The sequence below is a fragment of the Homo sapiens genome, chromosome 14 (genome assembly GCF_000001405.40).
Source record: "Homo sapiens chromosome 14, GRCh38.p14 Primary Assembly".
In the NCBI taxonomy this organism is placed as follows: domain Eukaryota; kingdom Metazoa; phylum Chordata; class Mammalia; order Primates; family Hominidae; genus Homo; species Homo sapiens.
The window spans coordinates 21,362,977-21,384,057 of NC_000014.9; the positions used below are offsets into that span (position 1 = coordinate 21,362,977).

Below are 21,081 nucleotides of genomic sequence, written 5' to 3' on the forward strand. Positions count from 1 at the left end.
ATTTCTGCAGTCCCACAGAACCCTCAGATGATCTCACTGCTCAGTGAAAACTCTTACTTCTGAATCTGCTGTTCTCCCTTTTGTTCAGTCAATCGCCTCTTTGCTTCTTCATTGAGTTGAGCCGCTAGTTCTTTCTGATGTGCTCTTCGCTTCTCTTCTGCAGTCATTTCATTCTGGTGAATGGAAAATCCAATTTATCACAACACGTGAGCCATATGACAGCCGAGATCAATGTAATTTAAAATAGTAAACTTACTCTTGTTCTTTCTGTAAGTAATGCTGCCCGAGAACCTCTTCCCAAAAGGTCCTCTGCCTCATCTTTCTCCTCCTCCTCTTCTTCCTCATCTTCATTCTATGGAAAAAGTCATAATCAAAAAATGAAATTTTAATTATTTTAGCCAATATTATTTAACTTCTTTATATCCTAAACTTCCTATACTACTTATCTATCTTCTTCCTACCTTTAGGAAAATCCCCACATTCTTCACTTTCTTCTTCACAGAAGTGAGAACAGTAGCTGGGCCATCCTAGAATTAAAAGGAGAATGAAGACACATTATTTAAAAGAGGCAATTTCATTTTCTAACCTAGTAAACGGCTGGGCAATGCTTTGAATCTTTTGGACACTAAAATGTTTGACAATGAATAAATATAGTTTTTATCCTTCTAACCTCTAACCTCTCGTCAGGAGCTACAATTTTTTTTCTTTTTCTTTTTTTTGAGACAGAGTTTCACTCTTGTCAACGAGGCTGGAGTGCAATGGCGTGACCTCAGCTCACTGCAACCTCCGCCTCCCGGATTCAAGTGATTCTCCTGCCTCAGCCTCCCGAGTAGCTGGAATTACAGACGCGCACCACCACACCTGGCTAATTTTTGTATTTTTAGTAGGGCCGGGGATTCACCATGTTGGTCAGGCTGGTCTCAAACTCCTGACCTCAGGTGATCCACCTGCCTTGGCCTCCGAAAGTGCTAGGATTACACGCGTGAGCCACTGCGCCCAGCCAAGAGCTACAATTTGGGAGGCAACATTGGGTAATCACTAATACAGGTTTGATTTGAAGCCTGGCTCAGTTGCTTTCTACCTCAGTGACATTTGGCAAGTTACTTAAACTTGTCTGTGCCTTCAATTTATCTGTAAATGGAGGTAATAAGAGTATCTACTTCACAAGGTACTATTTCAATGAATTAATGTAAACTGCTTAGCTTATGATAAAAACACTGAACTATCTGTGCTCACTATTATTAAAAATCAGTTCGCTGAGGGAAAGAAGCCAGTCACAAAAGACCACATAGGGTATGACTGAATTTACATCAACTGCTCAGATATTTAGCAAATCCTTAGAGAGAACGCAGTTTAGTCATTGCCTAGGCCTGAAGAACCAGTGGGGGAAGGGAAGGGGGATGGGGAGTGACTGCTAATAGGTTCAGGGTTCTTTCCTGAGGTGATGAAAATATTTTCAAATTAGATTGTAGTGATGGTTACACAAATGTGAAAATACTAAAAATCACTAAATTGTACATATCAGGTGGGTGAATTGTATAGTATGTGAATTGTAGCTCAATAAAGCTGTTATTAAAAAGAAAAAAGAATAACCGGTTTCATTATTAGTATTAGTTCCTGATATTATCATTATCAAGGTTCAAGCCACAATATGACAATATGATTTAAAGGTTTATATCATTCCCTATACCTGGGCTACAGTCTCTATTCCTAGCTGCATTAGGTTAGGCTGTCACACGGATTCTTCCCCTTAGCTAGCATTTAACAAAGCAAGAAAAAAACCACAGGGTCCACAAACGTGCCTCAGAAGTTAGTTCATGAAGACTCCAAAGTTTAGACACAATACACACCTCATCCACAAGCACTGTGTCACCAATGAACAGGGCATAGGTTTTCTCTTCTGGCTTTTTCCCCTCCTTGTTAGTCAGGTCTGAGAATCCTAAATTGATGCTGAAAACCATTCCTAAAACAGCAAAACAAGGATCAGTCTGTGGCTGTGACAATGTGGAGAGGTGTGAGACATATGCCTAAAAGAAAATAAAGCTAAAGGAAGTAACTCACAAAAGCATTTTCCTATTGTATGTGAAACTTACCTTTCTTCAGTTTGTATTGATTTTTGCTATTGATTACTAGGGAGCCTTCACGGAATTCAATTCCCATCCCAAACCTGAAAAGAAACAGATAAACATCAGCAAAAGGCTAAAGATCTCTAACATGGATCAAGCATAACATATTCATTTCAACTTTCACAATAAGACAGGCAAACATGTTTGAAATGATTTACCCCTGCTGACCGCTCAGTTAGAAAAGAGGATTCAAAGACAGTCTTTGGCCTCTAAACATGCTGTATAATCCCATGGCGAAAAATAATTTCCTAATTGATTATATCGAGCCTTTTTAATTTTAGCTTATTTGCCCACATTTAAACTTTAACCTTCTACCATAAAATCAAGTCAGTAGTACTCCTAGAAACAACATAGAGATTATTAAGGGGTACATTACTAAGACAGTAATTACTAGATTAAAAGGGGCAATTTTTAGTGGAACACTGGTAAACCAGATTCGTAAGACTTGTTATATAGGTATATATTTCCATGAGAGAAGTCTAGAAACTATATACCATAGACTAGTTTTCATCTAAAGAGAATGCCTACATAAAGCTTTGTTTCCCAAAATGTCCTTTGTTCCATTACACGTTATTAGGTATTTCTAGGTGTTCAGTGATAAAATACATTTGAGAAATGTATAAAATACATTTGAGAAATACACTGGATTGAATAAACAAACCAAAACCAAAACCAAAACCAAAACCAAAACAAAAAAAAACCCCCAAAACAAACAAACGGCCAGGCACAGTGGCTCACATCTGTAATCCCAGCACTTTGGGAGATCAAGGTGGGAGGACTGCTTGAGCCCACGAGGTCAAGACCAGCCTGGGCAACATAGCGAGACCCTGTTTCTACAAAAAATAAAAAAATGAGCTGGGTGTGGTGGCACGTGCCTTGGTCCCAGTTATTGGGGGAGCTGAGATGGGAGGATTGCTGGAGCCCAGAAGGTCTAGACTGCAGTGAGGCACGACTGCACCACTGCACTCCAGCCTGGACAGAGTGAGACCCTGTCTCTAAATAAAATATTAGGACATCTCAGAGTACTTAAGTTGCAAATGTGCACGGAGAGAGGAGATATAGTATGTATTGATAATATTTCCTAACATCTGTAATTATATCCTGGAAAACCTATGGGCTGGAACACCACACTGGTCTAGAAAAATCTCTCTTATACACTTGGGAGAACTTAAATCTGTCTCACCTTCTCTGATAACATCATGTGCCTGGCACATAGTATAGTTTGCTAGTCCATAAATGTTGGCTGAATCAATCAATTAGCCTAAAGAAATAAGACTGACCACTGACAGTCTAACTGAAAACTGACTCAAGAATGACAATAGACATCATGGCATACCCTAGGTTTTTGGTAATTTTGTTCAGCAGTTCTGGCTTCTGCTTTTTAACCACGTCCATGACAGCGTTATACACGTCACATATCTTCACACCTAATAACAAGACACAAAGGAGATATTAAAGTATCTTTTAGGAAAAAAACTCAGTAACATTTTAAAATCAAAATTTATGTCCCCTAAAGCAGTGTTTCTCAAAGTGTGAACTAAACAGTCCACTCACTTTTTTTTTTTGAGACAAGGTCTCACTCTGTCACTCAGGCTGGAGTGCAGTAGCATGATTACGGATCACTGCAGCCCTGACCTCCCAGACTCAATGATCCTCCCACCTCAGCCTCCCAAGTAACTGGGACTATAGGCACACACCACTATGCCCAGCTAATTTTTTATTTTTTGTAGAGACATGGTCTGCCATGTTGCCCAGGCTGGTCTCAAACTGGACTCAAGCAATCCTCCCACCTTGGCTTCCCAAAGTGCAGGAATTATAGGTGTAAATCACTCCACCTGGCCCCATTCTTTTTTTTTTGGATGGAGTCTCACTCTGTTGCCCAGGCTGGAGTGCAGTGGCGTGATCCTACTTCACTGCAAGCTCCACCTCCCGGATTCACGCCTTTCTCCTGCGTCAGCTTCCCGAGTAGCTGAGACTACAGGTGCCTGCCACCACGCCCGGCTAATTTTTTTGTATTTTTAGTAGATGGGGTTTCGCCGTGTTAGCCAGGATGGTCCTGACCTCATGATCCGCCTACCTTGGCCTCCCAGAGTGCCGGGATCACAGGCTTGAGCCACCATACCCGGCCCCGATCCCATTCTTAATCATACTATTTGAGAATCACTGATCTAGGAGGACAGTGGTCTTAATAAAATACTTTAAGAGTTGATAAATGGTATCACATTAAAGTTATTATACATTTTCAAAAACAGATCCTTGTGGTGGGCCTGTTCCATTTATCACTAAATGGGTGAATTATTGTTATGAGGGCTGTGGCCTTAATTTTTCAGGATCTAGACTATGAATGGGTATGTCAAGCTAAAAAGTAGTCTAGATATGGTGGCCTCAGAGGGATCTTTATCTTCATTAAACTATCTATGGCTATGATTTCCAATAGGACTTCTTAAGACCGACTTAGAGATAATGTGGAAGAATGGTGTCTGGAAGCTCAGTATCCTTCGTATCGTTTTGATGTAGGATTAACAGTATATATCCTGTAGGTAGAGATACTAGTTCTCAGAACTTTCTATAACTAAGGAATAGTAATAAGGCCAAGGTATTTTGTGATGATCTGGACACAGAGGGCCTAACAAGTCAGAGAGGTTTCTATAAACATCAATGTAAACCACAATGATCACTCATGCTTGAAAGAAATGCAGATTCAAGACCTAGATGCTAGGATGATTCAACATTTGTAAATCTTATTCTGTTTTTAATATGAGAGCCTCAGAGACATAAACATAACACTAATGACATTTCTTTTTTGAGAGAAGGTCTCAACTCTATTGCCCAGGCTGGAGTGCAGTGGCGCAATCATAGCTCACTGCCGAGGTATAATCGCAACTCACTGCAGCCTTGACCATTCAGGCTCAAGTGATCCTCCTCAACTTCAGTCTGAGTAGCTGGGACCACAGGCGTGCACCACTATGCCCAACTAATTGTTTCATTTTTAATTTCTTGTAGAGATATGGGGGCCTCATTGCCCAGGCTGGTCTTGAACTCCTGGATTCAAGTGATCCTCCTGCCTCGGCCTCCCAGTGTAGGGATTACAGGTGTGACCCACAGCTCCCGGCCAATGACATTTTTGTTACACAACTTTCAAACCTCCTTTTCTAAGGCACCTCACCATGTCTTAATTCCTTCAGCAGCTCCTCTTGAAGCTGGAGCAAAAAGTTATAATTTTCTTGAACTTCTTGAGAAGGATCAACCATCAAAGTGCGAACAAGGTTGGAGCAGTAAGACTTGAAGCGAATACCCATGGCACAAGTGATAGCCCCAAAGTGCATATGATTCTTGTCACTAGAGACCAACAAAGAAAGAAAACATTTCATTACCAAAACTAGCAAAGTCCTTGGTATCAATGGGACACGGTATCAATAATCATTACTTTTCCCTGCCATATCCCAAAGCTGTGGCTGAATAAGGACCTAAACTTTTTTGTGTTTTGTTTTAAATAAACTAACCAGTTTATAAAGGCTCTGGAGTAAAAGTCAGTGACCAAAACTTTTAGGATAAAAATTCAGTGAGTAAGTGAGTACTGGATTACAAAAATGCAAATGATATCCTGAATTGTATCCATTATAGTCTAATTGTGGGGTTGTGAGGAGTCACTTATCCATTAGTCCTCTATGAATTGTGAGTTGTAATTAGTCTTAAGTTAAATGAGCCAGACATAAAAGGACAAATACTGAATGTTCTCACTTATATGTGGGAACTAAAAAATTGGATTACATGGAGATAGGGAAAAAATAGATAACAGAGACTGGTAAGGGTAAGTGTGTAGGGGGGCAGGCGAGGATGAAAAGAAGTGGGTTAAAAGGTACAAACATAAAGTAAGATAGAAGGAATAAATTCAATGTTTGACAGCAGAGTAGGGTGACTATACTTAACAAAAATGTATTGCACCTGGGTGATGGACACCCAAGATAATGACTTGGTAACACTATACATTATATACTTGTAGCCAAATTTCAGTGTACCCCACAAATTTGTACAGATTTAACAAAAAGAAAAAATAGGCTAAAGTCAAAATGCTATATTATGAAGTCTTCATATACTTACCTCACCACACTGAACTTGAGATTATAGTTGCCACCACTCTGAATGATAGGAGGGTAACACATTTCCACAGTAGAAGGGTCTGCCCCAGCAAGGTATTTTTTCTCTTCAATGGCCTTTTCCACAGACTCAGCCAGTTTGCTGTGTCGAACTTTCTGTAAGAGCATCCAGAAATAAAGTAACACTTACTAGAGGGTAGCAAAGCGGGGTGTGTGGACACTATGATTTGAAGACAAAATGTATCCTTGTATAAGTCTTAGGAAATGATTTATGCGCCAGGTAATATATTGGTATGCAGGCAAAACACATTTGGAGAACAATATGTAGGACTTACAGCTATTCCTATGATTCTCAAGTAAAATAATGGGTTACCTCAAGAAAACATAACGCAGGCTTACCATTATTTTGAAAGGGAGATGATGTAATTACCACCAACTTAAGTGTCAGTCTTAATTTCAAAGGAAGCTGAAGAACACACCAACAGATTTGCATGGTAGACTTATTACTGCTTCATTAAAACAGTAAAAAGACCCTCTCATCTCCATTTACCTCATCTGCATCAACTATTTCCATGACTCTTTCCTTGAAGAATTTGTTGAAGACTTCAGAAGTGATGCTGGCTGCTTTCTTCATTAGGTTGAGCTCCCCATCCTCCTTTACAGCGATGGTATATGCCACAACTGCACTGATATCTATCTGCAGTCAAAGTGACAAGAGTTTCTAACATGCAAGTACAGAATTACAAAATAAATGCATCTCTCCAATTTGAATATTACCAGTGATATTTCTGTTATTTAGCAAACTATCACTGGTTTGCAGAATATTCAAACATTCTCTTCTTGAACTGAATAAACATTTGAAATAGCTCTTTGCCAGGTCATTGTGTGTACTACAAGAGGTGTTAAGCTAATGTACCACTTAAAATGTAAACTGCCCTCTAGACGTTTTTTGTAAAGGCAGATAGAAGAAAGGCAGGGAAAAAAAATAAAACTGGCACACTGCTCAGCCAAAGGGGATAAAATGTAAACAAACATACAGTTTTCCCAAAACAAACGTCCTGCACTATCTGTTATGGAAGCCCATCACATTTCTGTCTTCTCAACTCTTGATTTGCTATTTCCAGTAGTATTCTTACTTTGTCAAAGCCTTCTTTGTTGAGGCAGTCATTCCAGCTCTTCATGAACTCTCCAGGGAATTTGTCTTTGCTGAACACTCCAATCTTCTTGCCATTCTTGCTTTCTTTAATGGCTTCAATCATTTTGTCAAAGCTACTCTTATTACTTTCATTCTGTCAGTGTCATAGGGAAGAAAAGACACATATGTTTTACCAGTTCATTAGACACGTTTTACCAGTAACAGGTAGAATAATATTCTAAACTACGGAAAAAATTAATTCTCCTCCCATCCCCACCTACTTTTTACTTTTAAAGAGACAGGGTCTTGTTCTACTACCCCCAGGGTAGAGCACAGTGGTGTGATCACAGCTTACTGCAACCTCGAACTCCCAAGTTCAAGCAATCCTCCTGCCTCGGCCTCCCAAGTAGCTGGGACTACAGGTTCATACCACCATGCCTGGATAAATTTTTTTTTTTTTTTGAGACAGACTTGCTCTGTTGCCAGGCTGGAGTGCAGCGGCGCAATCTACACTCACTGCAACCTCAGCCTCCCGGGTTCAAGTGATTCTCATGCCTCAGCCTCCCGAGCAGCTGGGATTACAGGTGTGTGACAACATGCCCGGCTAATTTTTTATATTTTTAGTAGAGATGGGGTTTTGTTATCTTGCCCAGGATGGTCTTGAACTCCAGACCTCAAGTGATCCACTGCACCCAGCCTTCCTGAATAATTTTTGTATTTTTTGTAGAGATGGGGTTTTGTCATGTTGCCCAGGCTCATCTGGAACTCCTGCGCTCAAGTGCTCGCCTCGGCCTCTCAAAGTATTGGGATTACAGCCATGAGCCACCATGCCTGGCCTACCTGTAAGATGCCTTCCCATCTTTAAGGAAGATTGTAATATATCAAAAGTGAGCAAAACATTTCTTTAGATATTTTTATATACTCAGGTGAAAGTGCTGCCGTAAGTTGACCAGACTATTCCTTTTTTTAAGAGAAGGGGTCTCACGTTGCCCAGGCTGGTCTCAAACACCTGGGCTCAAGCAATCCTCCCATCTCAGCCTCCTGAGCAGCTGGGACTACGGGTGTGTGCCACCACGTCTGATACAACTATCCTTTTTCTTCAGAAACAGTTAAGAAACTCAAACACATAAGTGAACAATATTCTGAGAAAACATCCCATGTTAGGTGGGCAGTATGACAAAAAAAATTCACATTTGATAAAAACTGGAAATGATGTATATCTAAGTTTCCTTAAGGATATTTAAGGTTATTTGCTCTAATCAAGGCATACAGATGAAAACAAACTAACAGTGTCCTCAAGAATGGAGACATAAAATCAGTGTTCACCAGAATTTCATAGCTCATTTGTTTTACAGCAGAACTGATAGGATTATTGAATTCTTTTCCTCCTAACAATGAAGACGTGACAGAACTTTGTAATTACAACCACAGCCACCTATAATTTCCCCTGCGCATTCTTTCAAACTCCTATAAGGCATTTCTGTTCATCCCTTTTGAAGATTCTTCCACATTTATGACACATTCTTTATTAATCCTGACCTTTTCTCGTATTAGCAGTGTGATGGCAGGGGCTCCATTAGCATTCTCATTGCCCTTAGTGTTGGCAATCTGTTTCAAGAACTCCACTTTTTTCTTGCTGGCCATAAAGATGATTTTGTCATCACAAAAGACCATGATAGTATCAGTTAGTTCATAACCAAAGAGCCATGTCTATGGAAAAAGACAACAGTGACAACGGTATTTACAGATACAAAAATTAATGGACTCATATAGATATACAGAAATACTTATAGACAAAAATAACATGTCTGAAATTAACTCCAAGGTAATCAGGCTGGGGAGTCTGGAGTGGATACAAATTAAGCAAGATCGGCCAAGAGTCGACAATTTATTAGAACAGGACAATGGGGTTCAATGTATTATTTTCTCTACGTTTATATGCTTGAACTTTCTATAATTAAAACCATCAAATCAGTTAAACGATTTGTGTTTATAGGAAGTATATCAATGTTTAGTGATACAGAAATGCATAAAACAAGGGACAGAGTGATACAGAACCCTGCGTTATTACCTCCTCAATTACCAGTTCCCTACCAATTATTCATTTCTCCTTCTCAAAGAACTGATATTTTACCTTCCTTTCAGGTAAGTATGGTCATTAGGATCAAATTTTGGCCAATAGGTAAAAAATGGTAGTGTGTGGAGCTTCAAGCAAGTCTTCTTAAAAAGAAAAGGTGGCCTCCTGTTTTCTTCTCTGTCTCTTTTTGCTTGGAATGTAGATGAAACACCTGGAGTTCTAGAAGCCATTCTGTACCACGTGCAAGAGGGCTATGTTCTTTGGGTGGCAGAACAGAGAACTGGAAAAAGCCTGGGTCCCTGAAGACTATACATAAGGAAAAGAATATTTTGTTTAACTCACTGTTACTTAGGTTTTTGTGTTATAGCAGCTAAATCCATACTGATATTAATACTTCTTTTTCCTTATGTCTTAAATCACTGCTAAATCCAATTGAACTTTATGTGATGGTGAAAATACCATTTATCTGCTCTGTCCAATATGGGGTAGCCACTGCTGAGTACCAGAAACACAGCTGATGGGACTGAGAAATTGAAATTTTTTAAAGTAAGAGACAGGGTCTCACTGTGTTGCCCAGGCTGGAGTGCAATGGTGCAATCTTGGCTTACTGCAACCTCTACCTCCTGGGGTCATGCCATCCTCCCATCTCAGCCTCCTGAGTAGCTGGGACTACAGGTGCACACCCCCACATCTGCTTAATTTTTTTGTATTTCTTGTAAAGACAGGGTTTTGCCATGTTGTCCAGGCTGGTCTTGAACTCCTGGGCTCAAGCAATCCACCTGCCTCGGCCTCCCAAAGTGCTGGGATTACAGGCATGAGCCACCGCAGCCAGCCAGGAATTTAAGTTTTAATGTGGCTACCATACTGAACAGTGCAGTAGATAATCCAACAACTCTAAGAGCTAAAAATTGCTGTAAATCTCTCACCTGTAAGGCAGTTGATTTGGCATAAACAATTTCTTCATCAACACCCACTGATACAACAATGGCATCAACGTTGGCATACTCATCTTCTCCTTTCTGAAAAGAGTGGGTAATCATCACTTAATTTTTCACACTAGCAAAACAGGAATACAGCCTTCAATATTTATCTAGGACAGGCATAATTTTCTCCTGATAGAAATTTCAAGTTTAAGGTACATGCCTGTTTGGCAGTCTTACGGCTATTCTATTTTTTGTTTTTACAGTACTTGCTAATTGTTGATAAATATCAAGAGAAATTTTTCCTTAGCCCCCAGATCTATGTTTCATAGTTCAGGAACACAGATCAGTGACAAACGTCCTGTGTAATTCAAAGAAATATTTTATTTTTTAAAATTTTATTACTTATTTTTGAGATGGAGTTTGACTCTTGTTGCCCAGGCTGGAATGCAATGGTGCAATCTCGGCTCACTGCAACCTCCGCCTCCTGGGTTCAAGCAATTCTCCTGCCTCAGCCTCCCCAGTAGCTAGGATTACAGGTGCCCACCACCACACCTGGCTAATTTTTTTATTTTCAGTAGAGACAGGGTTTCACTATGTGGGTCAGGCTGGTCTCGAACTCCTAACTTCAGGTGATCCACCTGCTTCGGTCTCCCAAAGTGCTGGAATTACAGGCATAAGCCACCATGCCTGGGCCAAACTAATTTTTTATATTCCAAAATCATCTTGCACTCTCAAAGATAAGCCACCTTCATCTTAGAATCTTTCAAGGAGTCATAATTTATGCAGAAATCTACATATGCCTTCTTTTTTGGTTCAGCCACAGAAATTTTAATAGAGAGATGTAACCCCAGGGCAAAATGAACACTTCAACAACATGAAATCACAGATGCCTGGCCAGAAGGCCACATATCTGAGGTTTCATGAAAGCACTGGAAGCCATGGTAGTTTTTGTCCTTGTAGGTTTTGTCAACCTCAATACCAATGTCCTTTCTGGCTGATGGAGAGACGGGAGTTCTTTATTTTTTAAAAAAGTTTTATTGAGACAGAATTCACATAAAATTCAAAAGCATACAATGTAATGATTTTTAGCAGAATTATGCAACCATCACAATTTTGGAACATTTTAATCTCTATGTCCTTGAGTACAATCATTCCCCAACTCCCCTATCTCCATCTCAGCCCTAGACAAACCACTAACCTGTCTCTATGGATTTGTCTATTCTGGACAATTCATATACATGGAATCAAATAAAATGTGGCCTTTGTGTCTGGCTTCTTTCACTTGTTTTCAAGGCTCATCTGTGTTGTGACACGTATCAACACTTCATTCCCTTTTACTGCTGAATATTTCATTGTGTAGATATACCACATTTTATCTATCCATTCATCAGCTGCAGGACACTTGGGTTTTCACTTTCTGGCTATTGTAAAAAATGTTGCCATGAACATTTGAATATGTTTTGTATGGACATTTCTCTTGGGTATACATATACCTAGGAGATGAACTGCTGGGTCATATGGTAACTTTTCGAGGAATCATCAGACTGTTTGTCACCATGACTGCACTAGTCACTATTTCACATTCCTAAGAATGTATCAAGGTTCCAATTTTTCCACGTTAACCAACAGTTTTTATGTCGTTTTGATGACAGCCATATAATGAGTGTAAATTAGTATCCTGCTTTTTTTTTTCTTTTGAGACAGAGTCTCGCTCTATCACCCAGGCTGGAGTGCAGTGGTGCAAACTTGGCTCACTGCAACCTCCGCCTCCTAGGTTCAAGCGATTCTTGTGCCTCAGCCTCCCAAGTAGCGGGACTTCAGGTATGCACCACCACGCCCAGCTAATTTTTATATTTCTTAGTAGAGACGAGGTTTCACCATGTTGGCCAGGCTGGTCTTGAACTCCTGACCTCAAGTGATCCGCCCCCACTTGGCCTCCTGAAGTGCTGGGATTACAGGCATGAGCCACCACGCCCGGCCCTCACTGTAGTTTTGATTTCATTTCTCTGATAGCTAATGACGCTGAGCATCATTTCATATGTTTACTGACAACTGTATGCCTCTTGGAGAAATGCCTGTTCAGATCCTCTGCCATTTTGTAGCTGAGTTGTTGCTTTATTATTGAGCTGTAAGAGTTTTCATATTCTAGACACAGGATCTGCAGACATTTTCTCCCATTCTGTGCATTTTATTTTCACTTTCTTGATAGTGTCCTTTGAAGCACCAAAGTTTCTAATTTTGAAGTGGTACAATTTATCTATTTTCTTTTTTATTTTGGAGACAGAGTCTCACTCTATCCCCCAGGCTGGAGTGCAGTGGCACGATCTCGGCTCACTGCAACCTCCGTCTCCTGGGTTCAAGCAATTCTCGTGCTTCAGCATCCCAAGTAGTTGGGACTCCAGGCAACTGCCCCATGCCTGGCTAATTTTTGTATTTTTAGCAGAGACTAGGTTTTGCCATGTTGGCCAGGCTGGTCTTGAACTCCTGACCTCAAGTGATCCTCCTGCCTTGGCCTCCCAAAATGCTAGGATCACAGGTGTGAGCCACTGTGCCTGGCCTATCTATTTTCTTGTGCTTTTGGTGTCATATCTAAGAAGGTTCTGCCTAATTCAAGGTCACTCAGATTTACTTTATACTTCTTCTACAAGGGTTTCATAGCTTTAGCTGTCACAGTTAGGTCTATGATTCATTTTCAATTAATTTTTTTGTATGGTCTGAGGACTAACCCAACTTCATTCTTTTACATTGAATATCTAGTTATTACAACACCATTTGTTGAAAAGACTATTCATTTCTCATTGAATTATCTTGACATCCCTGTCAAAAATTAAATGACCATAAATGTGAGGATTTATTTCTGAATTTTCACGTTTATTCCACTCTTCTATATGCCTATCCTTAGGCCAGTACCGTGATGTTTTGATTACTACAGCGTTGTAGTAAGTTTTGAAATCAAGATGTGTGAGTTCTCCAACCATCAGATACTCTTCAATAGCTCTATAAAGCCAAAACACTGGTCATTCTGAGCTATAATTCTGACTTCCCCTATAAAGTCAAGATAAATGCATACATAAGACTCTTCCACATTTTTAAGGCTTCTGCTTGTTAATAAGGATATATGATAGCAACTGAGTGTTCTGTTGTATTTCTCTACCACAACAAAATATATTATGCAAAGAAGTCACTACATAGAAATTATATGCCTTTTCTCATTGATTTTCAGTAAGAAATGTTTTCCTTCAGGTTGGTAAAAAGTTTTACCATTAGTTCTCACCAATAGTGAAATAGTAATGGCACTTAAAACTGCTAGTCCCTTTGTATGAGTCAAGGTAGTGGCGCCAAACTACTTCTCCATTACTACACACTCAGGAAAAAAGGCCAGTTTCACGTAAAAGTCCTTGATGAAGTAAAAATGATTACCATTATAAAATCCCAAACCCTTGCATTTGTCTTTTAATATTCTATGTAAAGAAATAAGAAGTTATAAATAAAGCACTTCTGTGTGCAGTGAATTTATGATGGTTGGCTAAGTAAAAGCACTTGAATACATATTTCAGTAGCAAGATAACTAGCCATTTGAAGACCTGGATTAGCCAGGCATGGTAGTAGGCACCTGTAATCCCAGCTACTCGGGAGGCTGAGGCAGGAGAATCTCTTGAACCTGGGAGGTTGCAGTAAGCCGAGATTGCATCACTGCACTCCAGCCTGGGCGACAGTGAGACTGTCTCAAAGAAAGAAAAAGAAAAAAAAAAAAAAAAAAAAGATCAACAATGAACAGATTTAACCAAAGAGGTCTAAACCTTACTGAATAGGAATTTCAGAAACAAAAGACATCACTAAGGAAATGCAGGGACCAAAATGATCAAATAATGCACCATCCTAGGACTGAAGAATATGAGCTTGAGACTAAAAGGATTTCCCCAAAAGAGACATATCAAAGCACATTGCTGTGCAATTTCAAAACAGAAGGGATGATTCTAAATTTCAGAGAGAACAGGCTATGTATGTATACTGGAAATAGAATCATATCAGCCTTCTCAAAAGTAACACTGAAGTCTTTGACGCCAAATAATGGCTTCAAAATTCTGAGCAAAAAATGATTTTCAACACAGAATTTTATACCTACTGCATTAACAAAGCCAATAGAGTTGACTTTGGTTAACTATATTATTAACCAAAAGTGAGGGCAAACTAGCACTTTAAGACATGCAAGGGCTGAAGACATTTATATTCTATGCATCCTTTTTTTTTTTTTTGCATGGGGTTACAGTGGAGCTAGTGGTGAGCTTTTTATTTATTCTTTTTTTGAGACACAGTCTCACTCTGTTGCCCAGGTTGGAGTGCAATGGCACGATCTCAGCTCACTGTGGCCTCTGCCTCCTGGGTTCAAGCGATTCTCGTGCCTCAGCCTCCTAAGTAGCTGGCATTACAGGAATGTGGCACCATGCCTGGTTAATTTCTGTATTTTTAGTAGAGATGGGGTTTCGCCATGTCGGCCAGGGTAGTCTTGAGCTCCTGGCCTTAAGTGATCTGCCCACCTCGGCCTCCCAAAATGCTGATATTACAGGCGTGAATGAACCACTGCGCCTGGCCCATCTTTTCTTACGAAGTTCTTAGAGAAAATGTGCTAAAGAAAAAACAAAGCAGAGGCTCTTGGATATAGGGGACCCAATATTGCAAAGTCCCGAGGTTCAACAGGCCTAAAGAGTAACCTATACAGATGGAGCAGGATAATGTGGGGGGTGGAAGTGGGGAGTGAGGTTGCTTTTAAGCAACAGAATAAAATTCTGAGTGTGAGAAATTTAGAATAAAAGACTGGTAACAGGATAATGTGGGGGGTGGAAGTGGGGAGTGAGGTTGCTCTTAAGAAACAGAAGAAAATTCTATGAGTGTGAGAAATTTAGAATAAAAGACTGGTAACATTATAATAGATTTATTGGAAAAAATTAAGGCTAGGGAGACTTTTTTTAAAGGAGAAAAACTGAGGAAATCATTAATGCCAGGAAAAATAAAAAACTGTAGAAAAAAAGGAAAGTTAATCATACTTTATTACTTCACCCAGCAGTGAAAACATCTATATGAACATAAACAATGTAAATAGTAACTACTTATTTTACTAAAAATTGTGGGGAAAAGTTATGAAGAAGGATGGATGTGTGATAAAGCAAGTACAACAAAATGTTAACTGTGTGGGGTGGTGGGTATAAAGGGTTTACTTAAAATTCTTTCAACTTTTCTGTCTTTAAAATTTTTCATATCAATGTGTCAGGAGAAAAATGTTAAGGTATCAGGAGGTAGGGAAGTTGGAATGAGTGTGATGACACAAAGAAGTTAAATTCAGATTTACCATAAGTTAATAACCGTTAAAAATTCACAAATCAAGAAATAGCAGTATATATAGATATTATTTAGAAATATGAAAGAAACAAAAAACTCAAAGTGGTTGCCTCTGGGATAGGTGACTTTTTGTTTTAAGGCTTTTATTAGAACTATGACTTTTAAAAAACTATATCTATTACTGATTAAAATAATTTTGAAAGTGAGAGTTAAATAAAATATAAAACAGGTGGCAAAGAATCTGCAAAAATTGTGAAGGTGGTATCTGGATGATAAAAGTTGGAGAAATAGTGCAGCAGCAGAACAACTATCTTCCTTTGAACCAAACTGATACTGCCTTAAAAAAAGAAAGTATTTTTGCAGTCTGGTTGTAGCTAAATACCCATATAATCAGTTACCACTGTTCACTGAGTGACTTCTATATGCCAGGCACTGTAGTTGTTAATAGGGATAAAAAGTAAATATAAAAAGTAGAGATCTAGGGCTGGGTGTGATGGCTCATATCTGTAATCCCAGCACTTTGGGAGGCTGGGGTGGGTGGATTGCTTGAGGCCAGGAGTTAGAGACCAGCCTGGCCAATATGGTGAAACCCCATCTCTACGAAAAATACAACAATTAGCCGAGCATGGTGGCACACACCTGTAATCTCAACTACTCAGGAGGCTGAGACACGAGAATTGCTTGATCCCGGGAGGCAGAGGTTGCAGTGAGCTGAGAATGCTTCACTGCATTCCAGCCTGGGTGGCACAGTCAGACTGTCTCAAAAAAAGAAAAAAAAAAAAAAAGTAGAGAACTAGACTATAAAAGCTGAGTAAGCAATATTTAAAAAAAAATCTCAATCCATCTGGGCATTTATTTCCATCTAACCCTCCTTACTCAGCATTATTAAAAAGTTTCTTGGCCAGGTGCAGTGACTTACACCTGCAATCTCAGCACTTTGGGATGCCGAGGTGGGCGGATCGCTTGAGCCCATGAGTTTGAGACCAGCCTGGGACAACACGGTGGAACCCTGTCTCCACAAAAAATACAATAAAATAAATAACAATAATAATAATAATAAAAATTGGTCAAGTGTTGTGGCATGCACCTGTGGTCCTAGCTACTCAGGAGGCTGAGGTGGGAAGATCACCTGAGGCTGGTTTGGTTGAGGCTGCAGTGAGCAGTGATTGTGCCATTGCAATCCAGCCTCAGCCACAGAGTGAAACTCAAAAAACAAACAAACAAACAAACAAACAAACAAAAAAACCTTTCTCTATCCCACTCCAGAGATAAAGGAGCTATTAAGAGCTGAGTGTGAGTGGAAGTAATCCACTGCCTGACTGAAATAACAGGAAATGCCTATACAGCTGGCTCTCCTTATCTGTGGATTCAACTGTGTACTGAAAATTAAAATGGCCAAACATTTTTCTATGTCATTACCCCCTAAAAAATAAGTATAACTATTATTTACATGCACTTACACTATATTCGGTATTATAAGTAATCTAGAAATAAAAAATAATGGGAGGATATACATAGGCTATGCAAATATGCCATTTTGTTATCAGAGACTTGAGCATCCTTTGATTTAGGTATCTAGGTATGTCCTGGAAGCAATCCCTGACAGATACTGATGGAAGACTGAATTTTTTTTTTTTTTTTAAAGAAATGGGCTCTCTCTCACTATGTTGCCCAGGCTGGTCTTGAACTCCTGGACTCAAGCAATCCTTCCACCTCAGCCTCTGGAGTAGCTGGGATTATACAGGCATAAGCTACTATGTATTTTTTAAAATCCTTCCTGAGCCACAGAACATAGCTGTTGAATCTTAATAGAACAACCCAGAACAAGAAACTAAGCCACCATAAAAATCTGCAAAGAGCCAGAAAGCTCCACTCAAGAGAAGCACTGACACTTTAATTCATTAGTTTCTTCAAAGGCATAAAATTTCTTTGGGGTCAGTCTTCCACTACCCCAATCCTGACAGTTGGTGTATGCTCACAAGAATGTGAGTATTCCTTCTGAAAACAAATATTTTTGACATTTTATGGAATTCTTCAAGAAAAAAGGCAGATGAAGTCAAGGTCCACTCATATCAGAATGTCCCAACAGGTAGGTCTCAAATGATATACAGATATGCCTGGATATTGTACCACTCAGCCCTCAAGGCAGCTGGAACCCTGGGATGGTAGATAACCTCTTTTGTTTCTCCCAATGACCAGCACTAATCATATTACTTGGTTAAAAATAATCGTAATCATGAAAAGGCTGGCAATCCCTGAAGAAGGATCTAGTAGGCATAAGAGGACAAAGAAACATGCAGCCCATTTCCAGGAACCACCACTACCACCTGCGATATTCTAATAATACAGAGAAGGTGCTGCAAATCCTTTCTGCTCTTAGCAGCTCTCACTTAAAACATAAGAGGCAAGACTGGATCTAGACTCAAACCTCCAGGAGTCATAAAACAATAGTACGTTCTAAGGTCTCCTGTTGATTTTTGACTGACTCCATTTTCCCATCTCTAAAATGACACGATTTACTTAGATACAGGGCTTAATATTTTTGAAATTTCTATTCAGTTAAAAGTACATGGTAACTACAATTGTTTTTAGGACATAAGTTATGAAAATTATAATTAAAAAATATTTTATTTGCAATAGCCTCAAAATATGTACCTAACTGAAAATTAACTTGCAGATAGGTAAGGTTAATTCCTATTCTTATTTTTAAAAAAGGGAAGAAAAAGCTTAGTAGCCTATCAGTTCTCTACAACCCTGTGTACTTGTATTTGGACTGCTGGAACTACCAGGTTCAACCACTACAGCTTTTAAGGGCTTATAATCAAGAGTATTTAAAATTAAAAGTGGGTTTGGAGCCCAAATCATTTTTTAGTTAATTTTAGTCATAACAGTTTTTTTTTTTAAGATGGAAGCTGAAAGCAAAAGGCTTGGGATTTATTTTTTTTTTTTTTAATTTATTTTTTAAAGACGGGGTCTCATCCAGGCTGGAGTGCAGTGATGCGATTACAGCTCACTGCAGCCTCAAACTCCTGGGCTCAAGGGATCCTTCTGCCTCAGCATCACAAGTAGCTAGGACTATAGGCACACACCACCATGCCTGGTTAATTTATTTGCCTTTTTTTTTTTTTTGTAGAGACGGGGGTCTCATCATCTTGCCCAGGCTGGTCTTTAACTCCTGGCCTCATGTGCTGGGTACAGGCATGAGTCACGGTGCCCAGCCAGGTTTGGAATTTTTACCATTAACTTCAACTTATTCTATTTCAATCCCAGTTTTCTTATTAAAAAAAGGAAAAGGTGTAAAAGAGAAAAGTTATACAACACACCTATATATCCCACTATCTTTCTGCTATATCCAGGAGGATAAGCGACTAGATTTAACCCAGAAAACTACTATCTCTGATTAAGTGTATCAGAATGAAAGCACTGTAGGGTGAAAAGACTGCATACACAAAGAACTTCTACAGGTGGGTTCTGGACACATTAACACAAAAGCAGAAAGTCTTATTCAAGTAAGTTTTTCATAATAGCCACAGGTTTTGTTAACTGGTACATTTTTACATAGATTTGGCTCATAACTTTACACCATCAGTGTCTTATCAATATCTAACATTCTCCCAAGATGATGTCATTAAGGTAGTAAGAGGGCCAAGATAAACTTTAAAGATTTTTGAGATACAAAAAAAAATGGTGGGTGGGAAATAACTTTCATGGATTTAAAGACTATCAGTTTTATTAGGTTTGCCAACCTGTCTTCAGGCCACAGTTAATTTGTCATGTAGAGGAAGTGAGAGCTATAGATTAGTTTTCATGAATGGTATAGAGAGAATGAAATTATTTGATGAATCTGAATCACTGGGACTAGAAACAATTTTCATACCAAAGGTTCACAGTTTCAGGGTTTATGGGTACAAGAGAGGGCTTCGGATTTTTAGTACTTACTGATCATTAGAAAGTATCAAGGTTTTAAAATGTTTTTCTAACATCGATTATGTTTGAATAATATGACACTGAGAGAAGCTGCAAAAAATCATTTGGTAGAAATTAATCAAAAAATTAAAAAAAATAAAATGTTCAGTATTCATCTAGCATTTAGTTCTTATTTTTCCTTTTCATAAAATGCAAGAGAATCAATTTTATTTTCAATTATCTAATGTATTTAGCCCCAAAAGATGAAACATGCACAGACAGCTTTAATATGAATGGCAAGGAAACGACCAATTTTAATGGCTTGGTTTTAGTAGATGACCAGTTTGAAAGATAATTTACAATGCTGAAATGAGAGCTGATCATTTTTCTCAAAACGTTTTTCAGGTTAAAAAAAAATCTTTATTAGCTGTATCTTCCCTTGATGACAGGGTTCAGGGGCAAGACTTAAGCTAGCCAACTCAGACTGCATCACAGAATGCAACCAAATGTTTGCTCAATTAGTAAGTTAACATCATAAAAATAAGTTTTAACTGTGGACGTTTTTAGAGCAGCAAAACTGCCGAATCTTTAAAAAACTGGGAACTGCCACAGCTCTTTTAATGAACACGTGCCCCGGATACGCTACCAAGGAACTAATAAGGTTTTAGGCATCGTTTTGTTTTGTTTTGTTATTACTAATGCCTGCAGGCTTTCAGCGTTAGGTCCCTCTCTGTAACCCACAGCAGGGCCTAGAACATGAGGCGGTTGCGCGTGAGCAGTATTTCTTTTTTTAACTCCAGCAAAAGCCCCGCAAACGATAAACGCTAAAAGCCCGATTGACATCCTCCTTGCCCTTCCATCTCTCCTTTACGAAGACGGTTATAATCCTGGCGGGACCAGGGGTGGAATATTGTGGTTCTGGAGGGACAGAGCGAGTGCGTGAGAACACGGCAGGGGAGGGCAGCAAGACGTGACCACGGAGTAGGAGGGAAGGATGTTGCCTCTTCTAGGGCGGGAAGAGACTGCGAGAGGTGCTGCTATGCATGACCAAGGCTGGCACGCGGGGAAGATGGTGATGGCCGCAGGACAGGGTGAATGCGGGGGATTCCCTGTTAAGGGGCAGCGTTCGTGGCCGCCTCCGGTGAATGATTCGGGAGCAACGAAAAGGGTGAGGCACAGAACCCGGGAATTCCTGACCGAAAGAGAAAAAAGGGCGCCGAGAAACAGGGTTATTATGGGATGGCTAAGGGGGCTCCCTAGGAAAAATTACAGGATCTTCCTCACCCGCCAATTGCTGTACAGTCTCTTCACTCGCCGATAATAAGCGTCTTTGTCCAGAGTCACAGCCATAGCCCCGGACGCCGCTTCTCCTCGGGTTCCGAGAATCACGCGAGGTCCCGGCTCAGCCACCCGCTCTCGGCCCAGGAATCCCGCACTCTCCCAATGACCCGGAAGTATCGACCTCAAAGATGCCCTTTCC

The 21,081-nt window shown here is 39.7% G+C and overlaps 1 protein-coding gene across 2 annotated transcripts in view; it reads right to left on the minus strand.

Moving 5' to 3' along the window:
• The window catches only part of SUPT16H (SPT16 homolog, facilitates chromatin remodeling subunit), a 32,544-nt gene extending 11,501 nt beyond the window's left edge, over positions 1-21,043 (minus strand). Inside the window, exons 1-13 of one of the 2 annotated variants that reach the window (NM_007192.4) lie at positions 20,886-21,043; positions 10,362-10,454; positions 8,898-9,068; positions 7,360-7,512; positions 6,774-6,920; positions 6,228-6,379; positions 5,293-5,465; positions 3,463-3,553; positions 2,094-2,167; positions 1,851-1,963; positions 462-527; positions 257-352; positions 58-173 (exon numbers count right to left, since the gene is read on the minus strand). In NM_007192.4, the coding sequence (NP_009123.1) occupies positions 58-173; positions 257-352; positions 462-527; positions 1,851-1,963; positions 2,094-2,167; positions 3,463-3,553; positions 5,293-5,465; positions 6,228-6,379; positions 6,774-6,920; positions 7,360-7,512; positions 8,898-9,068; positions 10,362-10,454; positions 20,886-20,951 (1,511 nt within the window). In that variant the 5' untranslated portion in view covers positions 20,952-21,043. Of the gene's footprint in view, positions 1-57; positions 174-256; positions 353-461; positions 528-1,850; positions 1,964-2,093; positions 2,168-3,462; positions 3,554-5,292; positions 5,466-6,227; positions 6,380-6,773; positions 6,921-7,359; positions 7,513-8,897; positions 9,069-9,492; positions 9,721-10,361; positions 10,455-20,885 lie in introns of those variants that run through there. The other variant, XM_047430899.1, reaches the window with a different exon arrangement.